Raw genomic sequence first — 19,488 nt, 5'->3', positions numbered from 1 at the left:
TATTTTTAGTAGAGCTGGGTTTTTGTTGTGTTTTTTTTTTTCGTTTTTGTTTTTGTTTTTTTGAGATGGAGTCTCGCTGTGTCACCTAGAGCGGCTCTTTGAAGGCTCTAAGCCTTTGCCCAGGAAGTTCCTTCTGCCTGGAATGCTGTTCCTCCTGTTGCTTTTCTGGCAAGTTCTTTATGCTTCAAAGCTCACCTTACACAGCCCCTCCGGCTATTCTCGAATTAGAGCCTGGCCAATGTGGCCGGCTTCTTTGACCCTCAAAAAAAAAAAAACAACTGAGGAGTTGGGGGCAGTGGCTCACACCTATAATCCCAGCATTTTGGGAGGCTGAGGTGGGTGGATCACGAGGTCAGGAGTTAGAGATCAGCCTGGCCAATATGGTGAAACCCCGTCTCTACTAAAAATACAAAAAATTAGCTGGGTGTGGTGGCGCGCACCTATAATCACAGCTACTCAGAAGGCTGAGGCAGAAGAATTGCTTGAACCCAGGAGGTGGAGGTTGCAGTGAGCCGAGATCGCACCACTGCACTCCAGCCTGCGTGGCAGAACAAGATTCCATCTAATAAAATAAAATAAATAAATAAACTGAGGCTTCAAGTGGCTCTTAAATGTTTCTGGGGCTGGTGGGGTCGGTGGCTCATGCCTGTAATCCCAACACTTTGGGAGGCTGAGGTGAGTGGATCACCTGAGGTCAGGAGTTTAAGACCAGCCTCGCCAACATGGGAAAAACCCATCCCTAGCCGGGTGCGGTGGCTCACGCCTGTAATCCCAGCACTTTGGGAGGCCGAGGCTGGCAGATCACTTGAGGTCAGGAGTTCGAGACCAGCCTGGTCAGCATGGTGAAACCCTGTCTCTACTAAAAATACAAAAATTAGCTGGGCATTGTGGTGGGCACTTGTAATCCCAGCTACTCGGGAGGCTGAGGCAGGAGAATTTCTTGAACCCAGGAGGTGGAGGTTGCAATGAGCCAAGGTTGCGCCACTGCACTCTAGCCTAGGCGACAGAGCAAGACTCCATCTCAAAAAAAAGAGAACTGTCAGCCCACAATGAAGAGACAGGCAGAGAAGAAAAGTTCACAGGGGAGCCAAATAAAAACCATCAGCTCACGGGAACATTCTAGCTCTTTTTTTTTCTTTCTTTTTGAGACAGGGTCTTGCCTTATTACCCAGAATGGAGTGCAGTGACGTGACCACGGCTCACTGCAGCCTCAACTTCCAGGTGTTAAGCAATCCTCCCACCTCAGCCTCCTGAGTAGCTGGGACTACAAGCGTACGCCACTACTCCTGGCTAATTTTTATATTTTTTGTAAAGACGGGGGTCTCGCCATGTTGCCCAGGCTTGTCTTAAACTCTTGGACTCAAGCGATCTGTCTTCCTCAGCTTCCCAGAGTGCTGGGATTACAGGTGTGAGCCATGGTGCTCGGCCCATTCTAGCTCTTGAGAAATAAAATCCAAGAGTCAGAGCTAGAAGGGCCATGAGTTTGGAGGCTGAGAAGAGGAGGGGCTGAAACCTTGGGAGTCAGGTATGTGTGCCCCGCTAGGGCTGCAGGAAGCCGCTGTCCCCGAGAAGGAAACAACACAATAACAAGTCACGTGACCAGGGGAGGGGGTTTCCTGTTTCCCAGCCCCTCCCAGGCCAGGCTTGGCCAGCCCAGGCCTGAACAGGCAGTGGTCAGAGTGACCCCAACAGAGTGTCCCGGGACTCAGGCCTCTGATCAAGTTACCCCCAGAGGATCAGAGAGGTAGAGAGAGCTGAACCTCTCATTTAGGAGGGCCGGGGAGGAGAGGGAATTCTTGAGATCGCATTCCCAGGCTCAAATAGAGGAGGAAAGTGGACAAAGACGTAGTGAAGGTAAAGAAGGCAGAGAAGAAGGGGGAGATCAGGACAACCTTCTTAGGTAGTGAGCTCCCTGTCCAGGGAGGCATTCAAATCTGCCCAATCAACATTGATAACAAAATCCCTTCCTGAGGGGTAGTCAGTGCCCCATTTCACAGCAGAGGAAATTGAGGTTGTCCTTTGTCCAGGACAACAAAGGCAAGAGCTCATGGCAGGCTGTGGTTTTAGGGGTTGACGAAGGAGAAGCATTCAGAGGGCACTGGCTTCTGGACAGCAATGAGTGCCCGGGCCACGCGGCCCCGAAGCCGGCGAGGGAGGCATGCTCCACCCGTAAGTGTCACCCTCTCCCCTCCACACCCAGATCCTGGGGACCCCAAGGTCCTGTCCTGCCTGGCTCAGAGCAGGGCCCCGGGGGTCATTTGCAGGGTGAACTGGATCCCGTGGCTGAGAGTTCAGAGGAGGTCGAGGCAGCCAGTGGGAGCTCCAAGCCCAGCTTTGCCCCACCTCCGGTGAGCTCCGGGCTGGAGCAGCTGGGCCCCATGGAGGAGGTCAGTGGCCAAGGCCTAGGAAGCAGGTAAGACCCGCTTGGTCTGTGCCCTTCACTCCAGTCCAGACGCATCTTTGCCATCCACAGATCTGCTGATGTGCCTGCTCTGCTCACACACCTACCATAGCTCCCTATTGCCTTCAGCCTGACTTTCTTTTTTTTTTGAGTCTTGCTGTGTCACCCAGGCTGTAGTGCAGTGCAGTGGCACAATCTCGGCTCACAGCAACCCCTGCCTCCCGGTTCAAGCGGGAGCCTCAGCTTCCTGAGTAGTTGGGATTACAGGTGTGCGCCACCACATCCGGCTAAGTTTTGCATTTTTAGTGAGACAGGCCACATTAGCCAGGCTGGTCTTGAACTCCTGCCCTTAAGTGATCCCCCAACTTTGGCCTCCAAAAGTGCTGGGATTACAAGTGTAAGCCGCCGCCCCAGAAGACCCTATTTCCAGAAACTTCTGTCTCTCACCTTCAGGCCTTTCCCAGTGCCCGTCACAGTCCAACTTCACTCTGTTTCTCAGCTCCAGGTCTCCCCTCCAACTTCTTCACCACCTCTATCTAGCCTCTTCCTTGAATTCACAGCCTCCCAGTCTCACCCTGGGATGCCAGTCCCAGAACACGCAGCTCTTGCCAACTCCCTGCTCCGCTCACACCTCCCCAAGACCATGAAGTTTAAGCCCTCAGAATTCCCTGCCCAGGGCCGAGCATGGTGGCTCATGCCTATAATCCCAGCACTTTGGGAGGCCGAGTTGGGCGGATCACCTGAGGTCAGGAGTTTGACACCAGCCTAGCCAACATGGTGAAACCCTGTCTCTACTAAAAATACAAAAATTAGCCAGGCGTGGTGGTGGGAGCCTGTAATCCCAGCTACTTGGGGGACCGAGGCAGGAGAATCACTTGAACCCAGGAGGTGGAGGTTGCAGTGAGCCGAGATCGCGCCACTGCACTCCAGGCTGGGCAACAGAGTGAGACTCCGTCTCAAAAAATAAAAAAGAATTCCTTGCCCAGCATGGAGTGACTCAAGTGCCTGAGTTGGTGTCCACAGGACTGACAAGAAGATGGATGGGGGCTCTGGCAGGGAACTGGCCTCAGCCCCCGAAGTGCCCCACAAACCTGCAGTGGAAGCCCACCAAGCCCCAGAAGCAGCCCTACAGTACAAGGAGACTGTGCCCCCTGGGAATGGGGCCCCCGATGTGTTTCAGACCCTCCAGCACACTCTGAGCTCCCTGGAGGCAGCGGCTGCAGCCTGGCGCCACCAGCCCCCCAGCCATTCTGGGCCGATGGAGTTCGAAGGCACAAGCGAAGGGGGAGCAGGTTCCCTTGGGAAGCAGGAAGGGGCAGGGAGCTGCCAGCGAGAGGCAGCTCGCCTGGCCGAGAGGAATGCCTGGCTCCGGCTGGCCCTGAGTAGCCGAGAGGATGAGCTGGTCCGCACGCAGGCCTCCCTGGAGGCCATCCGAGCTGAGAAGGAGACGCTGCAGAAAGAGGTGAGTGGGGCCATCCTGAGTCCCATGTGGCTCTCTGTCTGAGGGAGGAGGTGGGCCTGATGTAGGCAATATTCATTCATTTGTTCATTCAAAAAACCTTTTAAGGCTGGGTGTGGTGGCTGACACCTATAATCCCAGCACTTTGGGAGGTGGAGGCAGGAGGATCCTTTGAGGCCAGGAGTTCAAGACCAGCCTCAGCAACACAGCAAGACTGCCACCTCTGCAAAAAAATTAAAAATCAGCCAGGTTGGCCAGGCACAGTGGCTCACACCTGTAATCCCAGCACTTTGGGAGGCTGAGGTGGGTGGATCACAAAGTCAGGAGTTCAAGGCCAGCTTGGCCAACATGGTCAAACCCCATCTCTACTAAAAATACAAAAAAAAATTAGCCGGGTGCGGTGGCATAGGCCTGTAATCCCAGCTACTCAGGAGGCTGAAGCAGGAGAATCACTTGAACCCGGGTGATGGAGATGGCAGTCAGCTGAGATCGTGCCAATGCACTCCAACCTGGGGGACAGAGTGAGACTCTGTCTCAAAAAAAAAAAAAAAAAAATCAGCCAGGTTGGCTGGGTGCAGTGGCTCATGCCTGTAATCTACACCAGCACTTTGGGAGGCCGAGGTGGGTGGCTCCCTTGAGGCCAGGAGTTAGAGACCAGCCTGGCCAACATGGTGAAACCTTGTCTTTACTAAAAATACAAAAATTAGCCAGGTGTGGTGGCACGTGCCTGCAATCCCAGCTACTCTGGAGGCTGAGGCAGGAGAATTGCTTGACACAATTCTGCAGCTACCAGGGAGGCTAAGGCACGAGAATCGCCTGATCCCAGGAGGTGGAGGTTGCAGTGAGCCGAGATTTCACCACTGCACTCCAGCCTGGGTGACGGAGTGAGACTCTGTCTCAAAAAAAAAAAAAAATAATAATAATGCTGGGCACGGTGGCTCACGCCTGTAATCCCAGCACTTTGGGAGGCCGAGGCACAGATCACGAGGTCAGGAGATCGAGACCATCCTGGCTAACACGGTGAAAACCCGTCTCTACTAAAAATACAAAAAATTAGCCGGCGTGGTGGCGGGTGCCTGTAGTCCCAGCTACTCCGGAGGCTGAGGCAGGAGAATGGCGTGAACCCGGGAGGCGGAGCTTGCAGTGAGCCGAGATCCCGCCATTGCACTCCAGCCTGGGCGACAGAAGAAAACTCTTTCTCAAAAAAAAAAAAAAAAGAAAGAAAGAAAGAAAGAAAAAGAAAGAAAACTGAGGGTGGTGGGAGTAGGCCCTGGAGTGGCAGCATGACTGGCCTGTTCAAGAAACCCGAAGGAGGCCAGTGTGGCTGGAACACAGGGGGCAACAGGGAGAGTGTGGGGAGCCAGAACAGAACAGAGGGAGAACAAATGCAGATCGCGTAGGGCCTCGTGGGCTGCAAGGAGACGCTTGGGCTTTGCTTGGATTAAGGTGAGAGCCCTGGAGGGTTTTGAGCAGAGGAGGGGCATGCTCGACGCAGGTGTTCACAGGCGCCCTCTGGTGGCGGAGGTGAGGGTGGACTCCTGGAGAGCCAGGAGGCGACTTCATTGGTCCAGACATGCACGATGGTGGAGGTTGTAGAAGTGGAGAGATGCGGACGGATTCTGGGTGATGTGGCAGATGGAACTGACGTGTGAGCGTGAAGGCTAGAGAGAAGTCAAGGACAACTTCAGGCTTTGGGACCTGCTGGACTAGAAGGGAGAGATGGAGGAGCTACAGGGTAGGCAGGTTTGGCTGGGGGTGACCAGATCTCTTTAGCCCTTGATAAGCTCAAGTGTCCATGAGACATCCACGTGGGGTCCTCAAGGGAGCAGCTATATGTCTGAGTCCAGGGCTCAGAGGAGACAGCAGGGCAGAAGGGAGAAACTTGAGCATCCTTAGCACACAGGTGGCATTTAAAGCCATGTGGCTGCTGGGTGCATTGTCTCATGCCTGTAATCCCAGCACTTTGGGAGGCTGAGTCAGGAAGATCACTTGAGGTCAGGAGTTCAAGACCAGCCTGGTCAACATGGTGAAACCCCATCTCTACTGAAAATACAAATATTTGTCAGGCATGGTGGCAGATGCCTGTAATCCCAGCTACTCGGGAGGCTGAAGCAGGAGAATCACTTGAATCCGGGAGGCAGAGGTTGCAGTGAGCTGAGACTGTGCCACTGCACTCCAGCCTAGGTAACAGAGCAAGACTCCATCTCAAAAATAAAAATAAAAAAGCCATGTGGCTGAATGAGATATTGAGAGGGAAGCCCTCATCTTAGGCTGGTAGAAAAACTTTGGAGCCCAGTCCAGGGATTCATTTTTCCCCAGAGTGGGGCCCATTTTTCTGCTGGGAAAAATAAAATCCTCAGCAGCTGAGAAACATTCCCAAGGTCAGATAGTGAGATTTTTGGCAGGCTAAGTATCCAAGCCTCTTGCCTTCCAGCTAGGGTTCTTGCCACTTCCCCAAGAACAGGCCTTGGGGAGAGAGGGCTGGTGGTTGGTTTGAGCCCCTAGGCCTGACGTCCCCCTCATCTTTCCCAGGTTCAAGAGCTGCAGGATTCCCTCTTGAGGCTGGAGCCCTGCCCACATCTTTCCCACAACCAAGCAGGTGGCTCAGGCAGTGGTTCTAGCAGCTCTGAGGCAGACAGGGAACCCTGGGAGACTCAGGTGAGTGCGAGAAGTTCAATCCCATGGTCTTGATGTCCTTAGCCTTCAGGGGAATGAGACTCAAATCTTTGTCATGGGATCCAACAGCTTTGGGGTTGCAAAATGCCTACAATCCCAGGCTCTTGGTGACAATTGGGGTCAGTTATATCACTTCTTCTTGGCAGGACTCCTTCTCCCTGGCTCACCCCCTGCTTCGGCGCCTCCGCAGCCATTCCAGCACCCAGATCCTTGGGTCTCTTCCCAACCAGCCCCTCAGTCCTGAGATGCACATCATGGAAGCCCAGATGGAGCAACTCCGGGGGTAAGAGACTCAAATGCTGAGCTCATAAGGGCACAGGCACCTCCTCCAACTGAGTTATAAAGCCAGGAGTCTGAAGCTGCAACAGGAGGGAGGGAAAGGGTGGAAATTGAGGCCTGACTGCCTTAGAAGGCCTCTGACTTTCCCTCTTCCCCACCTTCGGGAACAGGAGCATTGAGAAGCTCAAATGCTTTAATCGTCTGCTATCAGCTGTGCTACAGGGATACAAGGGCCGCTGTGAAGGCCTCAGCATGCAGCTAGGCCAGCGGGAGGCTGAGGCCACAGCATTGCATCTGGCCTTGCAGTACAGGTCAGTGCACCCTGCCAGTGATGTCACCAGCTGGGGAGGGAGTGGGCTTTCTGAGGATGGCCCCAATCCACAGAACCCTCACTGGAGAGCACCTTCCCCACTTCAGAAATTAATTTTTTTTTTTGAGACAGAATCTCGCTGTGTTGCCCAGGCTGGAGTGCAGTGGTGAGATCTCAGCTCACTGCAACCTCTGCCTCCTGGGTTCAAATGATACTCATGTCTCAGCCTCCTGAGTAGCTGGGATTACAGGTGTATGCCACCATAGCCAGCTAATTTTTGTATTTTTAGTAGAGATGGGTTTCACCATGTTGGCCAGGCTAGTCTCGAACTCCTGACCTCATGATCCCCCCTACTGGGCCTCCTAAAGTGCTGGGATTACAGGTGTGAGCCACCTTGCCTGGCCCAGAAATTAACTTAAGGCAATTTTAGTTCAGGGTTGCTAAGGGAGTCTGCATGCTTCCAGAGCTGAGGGCAGTGGGGAGAAGAGGGGTTCAGGAGCAAGTGGGGACTGGCACCTATAGAGCAAGATGTAGCTAAGTGGATTTTTTTTTCTTTTTTCTTTCTTTTTTTTTTTTTTTTTGAGACAGAGTCTTGCTCTGTCACCCAGGCTGGAGTGCAGTGGTGCCATCTTGGCTCACTGCAACCTCCGCCTCCCCAGTTCAAGTGATTCTCCTGCCTCAGCCTCCTGAGTAGCTGGAACTACAGGTGCGTACCACCACACCTTGCTAATCTTTGTCTTTTTAGTAGAGACGGGGTTTCACCATGTTGGTCAGGCTGGTCTCGAACTCCTGACCTCAGGTAATCCTCCCGCCTCAGCCTCCCAAAGTGCTGGGACTACAGGTGAGGGCCATTGCACCCAGCCGAGCTGAGTGTCCTGAAGCACTCAGAACCAGTGTCCCACAGTGAACACTGTGAAGAGGCATACAGGGTTCTGCTTGCTCTGCGGGAGGCCGACTCAGGAGCAGGAGACGAAGCCCCCATGAGTGACCTGCAAGCAGCTGAAAAGGAAGCATGGAGGCTGCTGGCACAAGAGGAGGCTGCCATGGATGCAGGAGCACAGCAGAATCCACAGCCAAGGTACCCCCCTGGAACCCTGGGAACTGGCCTGGTTGAGGAGTGGGGTCTTGACTGGGGGATGGGGCTCCCAGAGCTCACCACGTTTCGGGGCTTGGTGTGGCTGTGTCCAGCAAGGTCGGTATGGAGCTCACTGTAGTTGGTTGACATGAGGCTCAACTGCAGTTGGCCTGTTGCTACTTGACAAAGTTGGCATGGTGGTTGACAGACATTGCAGTTGGCATGAAGATGAATGACAATGCCTACTGGTTAAAACTGGCACCCACAGCCGGGCACAGTGGCTCAAGCCTGTAATCCCAGCACTTTGGGAGGCCGAGGCAGGCAGATCGTTTGAGCTCAGTAGTTCAAGACCAGCCCTTGTAACATGGCGAAAGTCCTTCTCTACCAAAACTACAAACAAATTAGCTGGGCATGGTGGTGTGCCCGCGTAGTACCAGCTACTTGGGAGGCTGAGGTGGGAGGATGCCTTGAGTCTGGGAGGTGGAGGCTGCAGTGAGCTGAGATTGCACCACTGCACTCCAGCCTGGGTGACAGAGTGAGACCCTGTCTTTTTTTTTTTTTTTTTTTTTTTTGAGACAGAGTTTCACTTTTGTCGCCCAGGCTAGAGTCCAATGGTCCGATCTCGGCTCACTGCAACCTCTGCCTCCCGGGTTCAAGGGATTCTCCTGCCTCAGCCTCCCGAGTAGCTGGGATTACAGGCTCCCACTACCACACCCGGCTAATTTTGAATTTTTAGTAGAGACGGGGTTTCTCCATATTGGTCAGGCTGGTCTCGAACTCCTGACCTCAGGTGATCCACTTGCCTCGGCCTCCCAAAGTGCTGGGATTACAGGCGTTAGGCACTGCGCCCGGCCGCAGCTAATTTTTTATGAAGACGGATTCTCGGCCAGGCGCGGTGGCTCACGCCTGTAATCCCAGCACTTTGGGAGGCCGAGGTGGGCAGATCACAAGGTCAGGAGATCGAGACCATCCTGGCTAACACGGTGAAACCTCGTCTCTACTAAAAATCCAAAAAAAAAAAAAAAAATTAGCCGGGCGTGGTGGCAAGCGCCTGTAGTCCTACCTTCTTGGGAGGCTGAGACAGGAGAATGGCGTGAACCCGAGAGGTGGAGCTTGCAGTGAGCCGAGGTTATGCCACTGCACTCCAGCCTGGGCGACAGAGCAAGACTGCGTCTCAAAAAAAAAAAAAAAAAAGACGGATTCTCACTCTGTTGCCTATGCTGGTCTCAAACTTCTGGCTTCAAGCAATCCTCCCACCTCAGCCTCCCAAAGTGCTGGGGTTACAGGCATGCATCACCGCACCTGGCCACCATGTGGTCTTGATGGAAGGTGGTGCCTAGTGGGGTATGTTGGTGTGACAGGGACCACCAAAGATGGCATAGATTCCATCGTGGCCAGTGAGATGGAAGGTGATGGACCCTACCAGGATTGGCATGAACTTAACCCACCTATGCCTGCCAGTGTTGACATAGGCACCTTTTCTGTTTTCTATAGCCCTGAAGGCAGCAGTGTGGATAAGCCCACCCCACAGGAAGTGGCTTTCCAGCTCCGAAGCTATGTCCAGCGTCTCCAGGAGCGCCGTTCTCTAATGAAGATTCTCTCAGAGCCTGGCCCCACCTTGGCACCCATGCCCACTGTGCCCCGTGCAGAAGCCATGGTGCAGGCCATTCTGGGGACCCAGGCTGGCCCAGCTCTTCCCCGACTGGAGAAGACACAAATTCAGCAGGACCTGGTGGCCGCAAGGGTACAAATGGGCTGTGGCCACTGTGTCAGTCTTTCTTGGTGGGACAAAATCCTTTACTGAGGTCGGGGGACCAAGGAGCAAAGGAGAATTCTGCTGGGCTGAGTGCAGGCATTGTGAAGGGAGAATTGGAGCTGGGGTTTTGAGGGATTAATAGGAGTTTGTTTTCTGGGGTTCAGTTTCTCATTAGACTACAAATCTGGCTCTCCAAAATGCCCTTCCTATGGGAAGAGATGGGAGCAAAGAACACAATCTTGGGTTTGTAGCTTGGCATGAAAAACTTGAGGTTCTGGAGTTAGAGAAACTCCAGAAGCTTTGACAGAACTAATACTTGACCTATGTAAGCTACTTGCCCCTCTAGGAAATGCCATTTCTACAGCTGTAGCTTTTATGGGAGGAAGATATTTCCACCTCACAAGAACATGGTGAATGGTGAAGGTCCTAGTTTGTTTGTTTGTTTGTTTGTTTTTTGAGACGGAGTCTTGCTCTCACCCAGGCTGGAGTGCTGTGGCGCTATCTTGGCTCACTGCAGCCTCTGCCCCACTGCCGGGTTCAAGTGATTCTCCTGCCTCAGCCTCCCAAGTAGCTGGGATTACGGGTGTGCACCACCACACCTGGCTAATTTTTGTATTTTTAATGGAGACGGGTTTTCACCATGTTGGCCAGGCTCGTCTCGAACTCCTGACCTCAGGTAATCCACCCACTTTGGCCTCCCAAAGTGCTGGGATTACAGGCATGAGCCACTGCGCCTGGCCAAAAGTCACAGTTTTTGTCTGAATAGTCCTCAGTGGGTGCCTCTTGGGGCCTCAGTTTCCCTGCAGTTGACCGTAGAAGCATAAATTCTCTCCCCTCTCCTTGGTCCCACAGGAGGCCCTGGCGGACCTGATGCTTCGGCTGCAGCTGGTGCGGCGTGAGAAGCGGGGCCTAGAGCTGCGGGAGGCTGCCCTCCGAGCCCTGGGTCCAGCTCACGTGCTCCTGCTGGAGCAGCTGCGGTGGGAACGGGCAGAGCTCCAGGCTGGTGGGGCAAACAGCAGTGGCGGACATAGCAGCGGAGGTGGCAGCAGCGGGGACGAGGAAGAGTGGTATCAGGTGAGCTGCCCTGCCTGAACCTGGTAGGGGAGTAGCTTACTAATGAGAACATAGCCCTTGTCAATCACAGCCTTTTTTTTTTTGTTTTTTTTGAGACGGAGTTTGGCTCTTGTTGCCCAGGCTGGAATGCAATGTTGCAATCTCGGCTCACCACAACCTCCGCCTCCCAGGTTCAAGAGATTCTCCTGTCTCAGCCTCCTGAGTAGCTGGGATTACAGACACGCACCACCACATCTAGCTATTTTTTGTATGTTTTGTAGAGATGCAGTTTTGTAGAGTTGCAGTTCACCATGTTAGCCAGGCTGCTCTCGAACTCCTGGCCTCAAATGTTTCGCCTGCCTCCACCTCCCAAAGTGCTGAGATTACAGGCATGAGTCGCCGCACCTGTCCTTAATGCAGCTCTTTAAATCATCTCTCCTACCTCCAAGCCTTTGTATATTCTGTGTCCCTGCCAGGAACACCGGTCACTTCCCTCTTTGTGTCATAAAGTCCTCGACCTCCTGTAGATCTCAGCTTAGACATCACCTCCTCAAGGAAGCCCTCCTGGAGTGACTTCAGATGCGGTTTCCTGTTATTTATTTCCCTTATCACAGTGGTCCCAGCTACTCGGGTGGCTGAGGTGGGAGGATCACTTGAACCCGGAGTTGGAGGCTTCAGCGAGCCACGATTATGTCATTTCACTCCAGCCTGGGCCACACAGCGAGACCTCATCTCTTTTTTTTTTTTTTGAGACAGAGTTTTGCTCTTGTTGCCCAGGCTGGAGTGCAATGGCCCGATCTTGGCTTACCACAACCTCCACCTCCTGGGTTCAAGTGATTCTCCTGCCTCAGCCTCCTGAGTAGCTGGGACTACAGGCACGCGCCACCACGCCCGGCTAATTTTTGTATTTTTAGTGTAGATGAGGTTTCCCCATGTTACTAAGGCTGGTCTCGAACTCTGAACCTCAGGTGATGCGCCCGCCTCAGCCTCCCAAAGTGTTGGGATTACAGGCTTGAGCCACTGCACCCGGCTTATTTATTATTATTTTTTATTTTTTTTGAGGCAGAGTGTCGCTCTGTAGCCCAGGCTGGAGTGCAGTGGTGCAATCTCGGCTCACTGCAAGCTCCGCCTCCCGGGTTCACGCCATTCTCCTGCCTCCGCCTGCCGAGTAGCTGGGACTACAGGCGCCCGCCACCACACCCGGCTAATTTTTTTTGTATTTTTTTAGTAGAGACGGGGTTTCATTGTGTTAGCCAAGATGGTCTCGATCTCCTGACCTTGTGATCCACCTGCCTCAGCCTCCCAAAGTGCTGGGATTACAGGCGTGAGCCACCGTGCCTGGCCAATTTTTGTATTTTTTAGTAGAGATGGGGTTTCACCATGTTGGCCAGGCTGGTGTAGAACTCCTGACCTCAGGTGATCTGCCCACCTCAGCCTCCCAAAGTACTGGGATTACAGCCATGAGCCACAGCGCCTGGCCTTTAATTTTTTTTTTCTTTTTTTTTTTTTTTGGGAAACGGATCTTGCTCTGTCACCCAGGCTGGAGTGCAGTGGTGCGATCTTGGCTCACTGCAATCTCTGCGTCCCAGGTTCAAGCGATTCTCCTGCTTTGGCTTCCCGAGTAGCTGGAATTACAGGCGTGCACCACCACACCCAGCTAATTTTTGTATTTTTAGTAGTGACAGGGTTTCACCATGTTGGCCAGGCTGCTCTCAAACTCCTGACCTCAGGCTGATCCGCCCGTCTCGGCCTCCCAAAGTGCTGGGATTACAGACGTGAGCCACCACGTCCAGCCTAATTTTTAAAAAATTATTATTGGCCAGGCACGGTGGCTCACACCTGTAATCCCAGCACTTTGGGAGGCCGAGGCGGGTGGATCATGAGGTCAGGAGTTCAAGACCAGCCTGGCCAACATGGTGAAACCCTGTCTCTACTAAAAATACAAAAAAATTAGCTGGGCATGGTGGCACGTGCCTGTAATCCCAGCTACTCCAGAGGCTGAGACAGAGAATTGCTTAAACCTGGAGGGGTGGAGGTTGCAGTGAGCCGAGATTGCGCCACTGCACTCCAGCCTGGGCGACGAGACTCCGTCTCAAAAAAAAAAAAAGAAAAAAAAATTATTACTGTCCGGGCACGATGGCTCATGCCTGTAATCCCAGCCTGTAATCTTAGCACTTTGGGAGGCCGAGTTGGGCGGATCACGAGGTCAGGAGATCGAGACCATCCTCGCTAACACGGTGAAACCCTGTCTCTACTAAAAATACAAAAAATTAGCTGGGGATGGTGGCGGGCGCCTGTAGTCCCAGCTACTCGGGAGGCTGAGGCAGGAGAATGGCGTGAACCCGGGAGGCAGAGCTGGCAGTGAGCTGAGATCACGCCAGTGCACTCTAGCCTGGGCGACAGAGCGAGACTCTTCTCAAAAAAAAAATTATTATTATTTCAAACAAGGATTAGACAGGAGGAAGGACTTCCAGTGGATCTCTAGTTTTTGTTTTTGTTTTTTTGTTGTTTTTTTTTTTGAGACAGAGTCTCACTGTGTTGCTCAGGCTAGAGTGCAGTGCTGCGATCCCAGCTTACTCCAACCTCTGCCTCCCAGCTTCAAGTGATTCTCCTGCCTCAGCCGCCCAGTTAGTTGGGACTCCAGGTGCCCGCCACCATGCCTGGCTAATTTTTTTTTTTGAGACCGTATCTTACTCTGTTGCCCAGGCTGGAGTGCAGTGGCATGATCTTGGCTCACTGCAACCTCCGCCTCCCAAGTTCAAGCGATTCTCCTGCCTTAGCCTCCCAAGTAGCTGGAATTACAGGGGTCTGCCACCATGCCAGACTAATTTTTATATTTTTAGTAGAGACAGGGTTTCACCATGTTGACCAGGCTGGTCTTGAACGCCTGACCTCAAGTGATCCACCCGTCTTGGCCTCCCAAAGTGCTGGGATTACAGGCATGAGCTACCACACCTGGCCCCTAAATTTTATTTTTAGAGATGAGGTTCGAGACCAGCCTGGCCAACATGGTGAAACTCCGTCTCTACTAAAAATACGAAAAGTAGCCGGGTCTGGTGGCATGTGTCTGTAATCCCAACTACTTGGGAGGCTGAGGCAGGAGAATCGCTTGAACCTGGGAGGCGGAGGTTGCTGTCAGCCAAGATCGTGCCACTGTACTCCAGCCTGGGTGGCAGAGTGAGACTCTGTCTCAAAAAAAATTTTTTTTAATTAAATAGGATATTTCCCTTATCAGAGTATAATTTTGCTCTTATTGGTATATCGAACCAGATGTGGGTCTCTGAGAGCACAGCAGCTGCCACTGTCTGGGCAGCTCCAATGTCCAGTGTGGGCCAAGCACGGACTTGGCCTAGGTTAATGTCACTTTCTTGTCTTCTGCCTCCCTTAGGGCCTTCCTGCTGTCCCTGGTGGCACCAGTGGCATTGATGGTGGCCAGGTGGGCAGAGCCTGGGACCCAGAGAAGTTAGCCCAGGAACTGGCAGCATCGCTCACCAGGTGTGTGCCTGGGTCCTGGGCTGTGCGGGGGGTGGGCAGGCAGCCTATGTGAGAGCCCCCGGGGGTGTCGTCTGCAGTAGAAGCTAAGGTGTACCCCGGTGTACAGGTGTGTTTACATGACAATACTGTGGGCAGGTGGGTAGGAGGAGACCTGGGAAACAGGATCGGCTGGGGCTGTGAGCCCCCTCTCTTCTCCTTCGCAACAGGACACTGGACCTGCAGGAGCAGCTGCAGTCTCTGCGCAGGGAGCTGGAACAGGTGGCTCAGAAGGGGCGAGCCAGACGGTCTCAGAGTGCCGAGCTGAACAGGGATTTATGCAAAGCCCACAGGTAGGACTGTTCTGCATCCCCCCAATCCCCCTGGCACCATCCCCCACCAGGATATCAGAAGTATCCCTGGCTGTCTCTGGGCCTTAGCATTCCCCACTGCCCCAAGATAGGCAGTAACGGTCAGGTGTGGTGGCTCACACCTGTAATCCCAGCATGTTGGGAGGCTGAGGCCAGCAGATCACTTGAGGTCAGGAGTTTGAGACCAGCCTGGCCAACGTGGTGAAACCCCATCTCTACTAAAAATACAAAAATTAGCTAGGCGTCTTTGCACGTGCCTGTAATTCCAGCTACTTGAGAGACAGGAGAATTGCTTAAACCCAGGAGGTGGAGGTTGTGGTGAGCAGAGATCACACCACTGCACTCCAGCTTGGGTGACAGAGCAAGACTCTGTCTAAAAAAAAAAAAAAAAAAACAACAGGCTGGGCCAGGCGCAGTGGCTCACGCCTGAAATCCCAGCACTTTGGGAGGCCAAGGTGGGCAGATCACCTGAGGTCGGGAGTTCGAGACCAGCCTGACCAACATGGAGAAACCCCATCTCTACTAAAAATACAAAATTAGCCAGGCGTGGTGGCGCATGCCTGTGATCCCAGCTACTCGGTAGGCTGAGGCAGGAGAATCGCTTGAACCCGGGAGGCAGAGGTTGCAGTGAGCCGAGATTGTGCCATTGCACTCCAGCCTGGGCAACAAGAGCGAAACCCCATCTCAAAAAACAACAACAAGAAAAAACAGGCTGGGCATGGTGGCTCACGCCTGTAATCCCAGCACTTTGGGAGGCTGAGGCAGGCGGATCACCTGAGGTCAGGAGTTCAAGACCAGTCTGGGCAACATGGTCAAACCCTGTCTCTATTAAAAAATACAAAAAAATTAGCTGGGCGTGGTGGTGGGCGCCTGTAATCCCAGCTACTTGGGAGGCTAAGGCAGGAGAATCACTTGAACCCTCGAGGCAGAGGTTGTAGTGAGGGGAGATCTTACCATTGCACTCCAGCCTGGGTGACAAGCGCGAAATTCTGTCTCAAACAACAACAACAACAACAACAAAAGACCAGCTAGCTGGGACCCTTGGAGACCCAATGTGAAAGAGCCCCCATTCTGGGAGTGGGAGTACACGGCCCTTGCCTTGGGTGGACTCGGGGGCTGTTTCCTGACCCAGCCACCCACCCCTTCCAGCGCCCTGGTCCTGGCCTTCCGAGGAGCCCACCGGAAGCAGGAAGAGCAACGCCGGAAGTTGGAGCAGCAGATGGCACTCATGGAGGCTCAGCAGGCCGAGGAGGTGGCGGTGCTCGAAGCCACTGCAAGGGCCCTGGGGAAGCCCAGGCCTCCCCTCCCGCCTCCCCAGCTTGGGGACACCTTTCTGTAGGCCCCTTACCCAGCCATGTCTGGACATGCCAGACAGCTGTGGCATGTCATAAACTGTCCTGGAGTGACATCATGTCATGTTGCATGATTTGGCATGTTGGGGCACATTTGGCGTGAGGGAAGCTGGTGCACATGGGTGTCCAGGGCCTGATGGGGTGTGGCCAGGCAATGAAGAAAGACTCAGGTGTCTTTGGCCTGGCACCAAGTGGAATGTGAACTTCATATCAGTGGGGTCAGGCCAGAAGCAACCTGGGCTATGGGACCAGGTCCCTGGGACTGACGCATTTCGGGGGTCCGTGAGGTTGCATAGCCACAGCTGAAGTTCCAACTGGCCTGTCTCCCGAAGCCCAGGGAGGGATTCATGGGGACTGGACAGAGCTTCTCCTGGCAGCCCCTTCCCAGGGAGATGCTGGGTTTGGCTGGCAGATTTTCCTGAAGGGGGCCGGGCTCAGTGGTGCACATCTGTAATCCCAGCATTTTGGGAGGCCAAGGTGGGTAGATCACTTGAGCCCAGGAGTTCAAGACCAGCCTGGGCAACATGGCAAAACCCCATTTCTACAAAAAAATACAAAAATTAGCCAGGCGTGGTGGCATGTGCCTATAAAGATATTTAGGAGGCTAAAGTGGGAGGGTAACTTGAGCTTGGGAAGTGGAGGTTGCAGTGAGCTGAGATCACGCCACTGCACTCCAGTCTGGGTCACAGAGTAAGACCTTGTCTCAAAAAAAAAAACAGGCCAGGCGTGGTGACTCATGCCTGTAATCCCAGCACTTTGGGAGGCTGAGGCGGGGAGGATCACCTGAGGTCAGGAGCTTGAGACCAGCTTGGCCAACATGGTGAAACCCCCGTCTCTACTAAAAATACAAAAATTGGCTGGGTGTTGTGGCACATGCCTGTAATCCCGGCTACTCGGGAGACTGAGGCAGGATAATTGCTTGAACCTGAGAGGCGGGGGTTGCAGTGAACCGAGATCGCGCCAACAACAAGATCGTGCCCGGGCAATAAGAGCAAAACTCTGTCTCTAAATAAATAAATAAAACACAAAACAAAACAAAAAGGAGGGAGACTGAAGCTGGAATGGTTCAGATTCAGGGTGTGGATGACGAGTTGCTACTAACTCAAAGCTAAGGTCAAGGGTTTCTGGACTCCATGTGGTCGAGCTTGCCTGTAATCCCAGTATCTCAGGAGGCCGAGGGAGGAGGACTGCTTGAGCCCAGGGGTTTAAGACCAGCCTAGGCAAAATAGGAGAGTCTGTCTCAAAAATAAATAAATAAAATAAGGTAAAGGGTTTCTGGGTGGGGGACAGGCATAGCAAAGGTAATAGTCTGGGACTCAGGGGGCGTTGTACTTCAAGAGAAACTCAGAATGAATGCCAATGGTGGCCAGTTCCAGCTTTCTCCTGGGGGCCCAGGAGCTGTGGGACGTGTCAGGTTAATAGCAGGCAATGAATTAGCATGTCATTTGCATAAGTCACATCTCCCTGCCCCTCCACACCAGGACTGGCTGAGTCTGGGAAAGGGGAGCTTGGAACGACCCAGCCAAGCTTGGATTAGTGGCCAGCTGTCCCCCTTCAGGGTGGCAGCTGAAACCCGAGACAGGGATTAGAAAGACTTTCATTCCCAGCCTTGGGGGCAGGTGCTCCAGGCCTCACCTGTGCAGGTGTGTTCACCGCCTCTCCCAGGGCAGGACCACGTCAGCCTGAGGTCAGCGCCAGTCAGCGGCCTGGACTTGAATCCAGTCAACCTGACCCCAGAAACAGAACAAGAAGTATGGTGGCGAGCACAGTCCCCTCCAGCGAGGGCTGGGGCTAGTCACCTTCCGACCCACACGCTGTCCCTGGACTTGGGCCAACTTTGAAGAAAGCAGGGAAATGGAGGCAGACCACCTTGCTCGTGTTGGGGTGGGGCAGAGAAGCTGAATTTCTTCCCTGTACCCTGCCGAGCCCCAGAGTCTAAGACCTGAGTTCCTGGTCCCACCAGGTTGCCTGTGGAGGGGCAAAGGGAGCCAAGGTCACATGTGGGAGGACGGAGACAGGTTCCCAGGCTGCCCCAGCAGGATCTGGCCATTCCCACGGGTGCCCCCTCAGCAGATGGGCCTAGGCCCCTTTGTCCCTGGTTTGCGGCCGCCGCAAGGTCAAATGTTACTGCAGGGCCGCGGGCAGGGGTCAGGGAGGCGGGGTAGAGCCTTGATCCACCCCCAGGCGGGCCCCAGGGGGCACAGGGGTGGCCAGGCTACTGGAAGGGGGTGGGGCAGCCTTTGGGACTGGAACTACTGGAGTTTCTGGGATCTGCGATGGTCTTTCTTCCCCCATCTCCCACCCAGCTCTCAGCTGCCTCGCAAGACTTGTCTCCCCCAAACCTAGTTCTTTGCTCCCTCCCCTTCACAATCCCCTCAAGATTCCTTGAGTCTTCTCTCCCTCTTCTTTTTTTTTTTTTTTTTGAGACAGGGTCTTGCTCACGCTGGAGTGGAGTGACGTGACGTGATTATAACCCACTGCAGCCTTGAACACCTGGGCTCAAGACGGGTCTCACTTTATTGCCCCGGCTGGTCTTGAACTCCTGGTCTCAAGAGATCCTCCTGACTTGGCCTCCCAAAGTGTTGGGATTACAGGCGTGAGCCACAGCGCCTGTCTCTCATCTAAATCTCTTTTCAATCCCTTCTGAGACCTCCACCCCAATGCTCCCCACCAAAGATCCTAGCAGGTCCAGGCAAGGGGCCTAGGATCCCTGCCCTCATCCCAAATTACCAGTCACATTCCCATGCAGCCTCAGAACCAAAGGGTCGTCTCTGCCCACCCACGCCTTCCTCTCTCCCAGCAGGGATTACATCAGGCTGTGGGCAGAACCCGACTCTAGACCTCGGGAAGTCCTTGCTCATGTCTAATCCTAGTCCTTCCTGCTTTTCGTGTTTACTAACGCCTCCTCCTCCACCTCCCAGGCAGCCAGAACGTCCCTGGAGCAGGTTGAGAGGCCCAGGGCTGGGTGTGCCTGGCTCTCCCAGAACCTCAGTTTCTTTTTAAGTGTTGTAAGATCTCTAAGAATCTTTCCCCCTACTCCAGGGAGGGCAATTCTTCAAGTCTCATCAGGGCTCTGGGAGGCAGAGGAGGGGGTGCGCAGAAGGCACTGTCCTGGCCAGAGCTCTCAGAGGCCCAGCTGCATGCTCTGGTGTCCAGCTCTGGGCTCAGGGCGGGGTGGGACCACAGTCTGGGTGGCTGGGGCTGCAAGACTCCGAGGTGAAAGGTCACTCCTGGAAGGGCTTGTCCAGCCGGTTAAAGGTTAACCTGCCCAGAGCCAGAGGCTCG

General features: G+C 53.8%; 1 protein-coding gene across 5 annotated transcripts, besides 4 other annotated features; it reads left to right on the top strand.

Annotated features, from left to right (window-relative positions):
* Positions 1,670-17,244, top strand: USHBP1 (USH1 protein network component harmonin binding protein 1). Of its 5 annotated transcripts, NR_135632.2 has the most exons (14): positions 1,670-1,744; positions 2,068-2,169; positions 2,265-2,413; positions 3,425-3,863; positions 6,393-6,518; positions 6,683-6,819; positions 6,986-7,126; positions 7,714-7,831; positions 8,030-8,203; positions 9,695-9,944; positions 10,809-11,030; positions 14,398-14,504; positions 14,711-14,833; positions 16,001-17,244. NR_135632.2 is itself a non-coding variant. In NM_031941.4 (13 exons), exons 2-13 carry the CDS (start codon positions 2,116-2,118, stop codon positions 16,188-16,190), a joined length of 2,112 nt encoding a protein of 703 aa, NP_114147.2. In that variant the 5' UTR covers positions 1,670-1,744; positions 2,068-2,115; the 3' UTR covers positions 16,191-17,244. The 5 variants fall into 5 exon arrangements, 4 of the variants coding, with proteins under 4 accessions (NP_114147.2, NP_001308346.1, NP_001284632.1 ...); NM_031941.4 differs by lacking the exon at positions 7,714-7,831; NM_001321417.2 differs by lacking the exon at positions 7,714-7,831 and having other exon boundaries at positions 1,670-1,854.
* Positions 3,640-4,197: an enhancer, noted in NCBI's record as "H3K4me1 hESC enhancer chr19:17373027-17373584 (GRCh37/hg19 assembly coordinates)". NCBI's record gives its function as "activates a minimal SCP1, AML or CMV promoter by ChIP-STARR-seq in primed H9 embryonic stem cells {active_cell/tissue: H9 hESC(primed)}" and the evidence as "EXISTENCE:reporter gene assay evidence [ECO:0000049][PMID:30033119]".
* Positions 4,404-5,005: an enhancer, noted in NCBI's record as "H3K27ac-H3K4me1 hESC enhancer chr19:17372219-17372820 (GRCh37/hg19 assembly coordinates)". NCBI's record gives its function as "activates a minimal SCP1, AML or CMV promoter by ChIP-STARR-seq in primed H9 embryonic stem cells {active_cell/tissue: H9 hESC(primed)}" and the evidence as "EXISTENCE:reporter gene assay evidence [ECO:0000049][PMID:30033119]".
* Positions 16,715-17,663: an enhancer, noted in NCBI's record as "H3K27ac-H3K4me1 hESC enhancer chr19:17359561-17360509 (GRCh37/hg19 assembly coordinates)". NCBI's record gives its function as "activates a minimal SCP1, AML or CMV promoter by ChIP-STARR-seq in naive H9 embryonic stem cells {active_cell/tissue: H9 hESC(naive)}" and the evidence as "EXISTENCE:reporter gene assay evidence [ECO:0000049][PMID:30033119]".
* Positions 17,664-18,613: an enhancer, noted in NCBI's record as "H3K27ac-H3K4me1 hESC enhancer chr19:17358611-17359560 (GRCh37/hg19 assembly coordinates)". NCBI's record gives its function as "activates a minimal SCP1, AML or CMV promoter by ChIP-STARR-seq in primed H9 embryonic stem cells {active_cell/tissue: H9 hESC(primed)}" and the evidence as "EXISTENCE:reporter gene assay evidence [ECO:0000049][PMID:30033119]".

Source organism: Homo sapiens, chromosome 19 (assembly GCF_000001405.40).
Source record: "Homo sapiens chromosome 19, GRCh38.p14 Primary Assembly".
Taxonomy (NCBI): Eukaryota; Metazoa; Chordata; class Mammalia; order Primates; family Hominidae; genus Homo; species Homo sapiens.
This window is presented reverse-complemented; position numbering and strand designations above follow the sequence as displayed.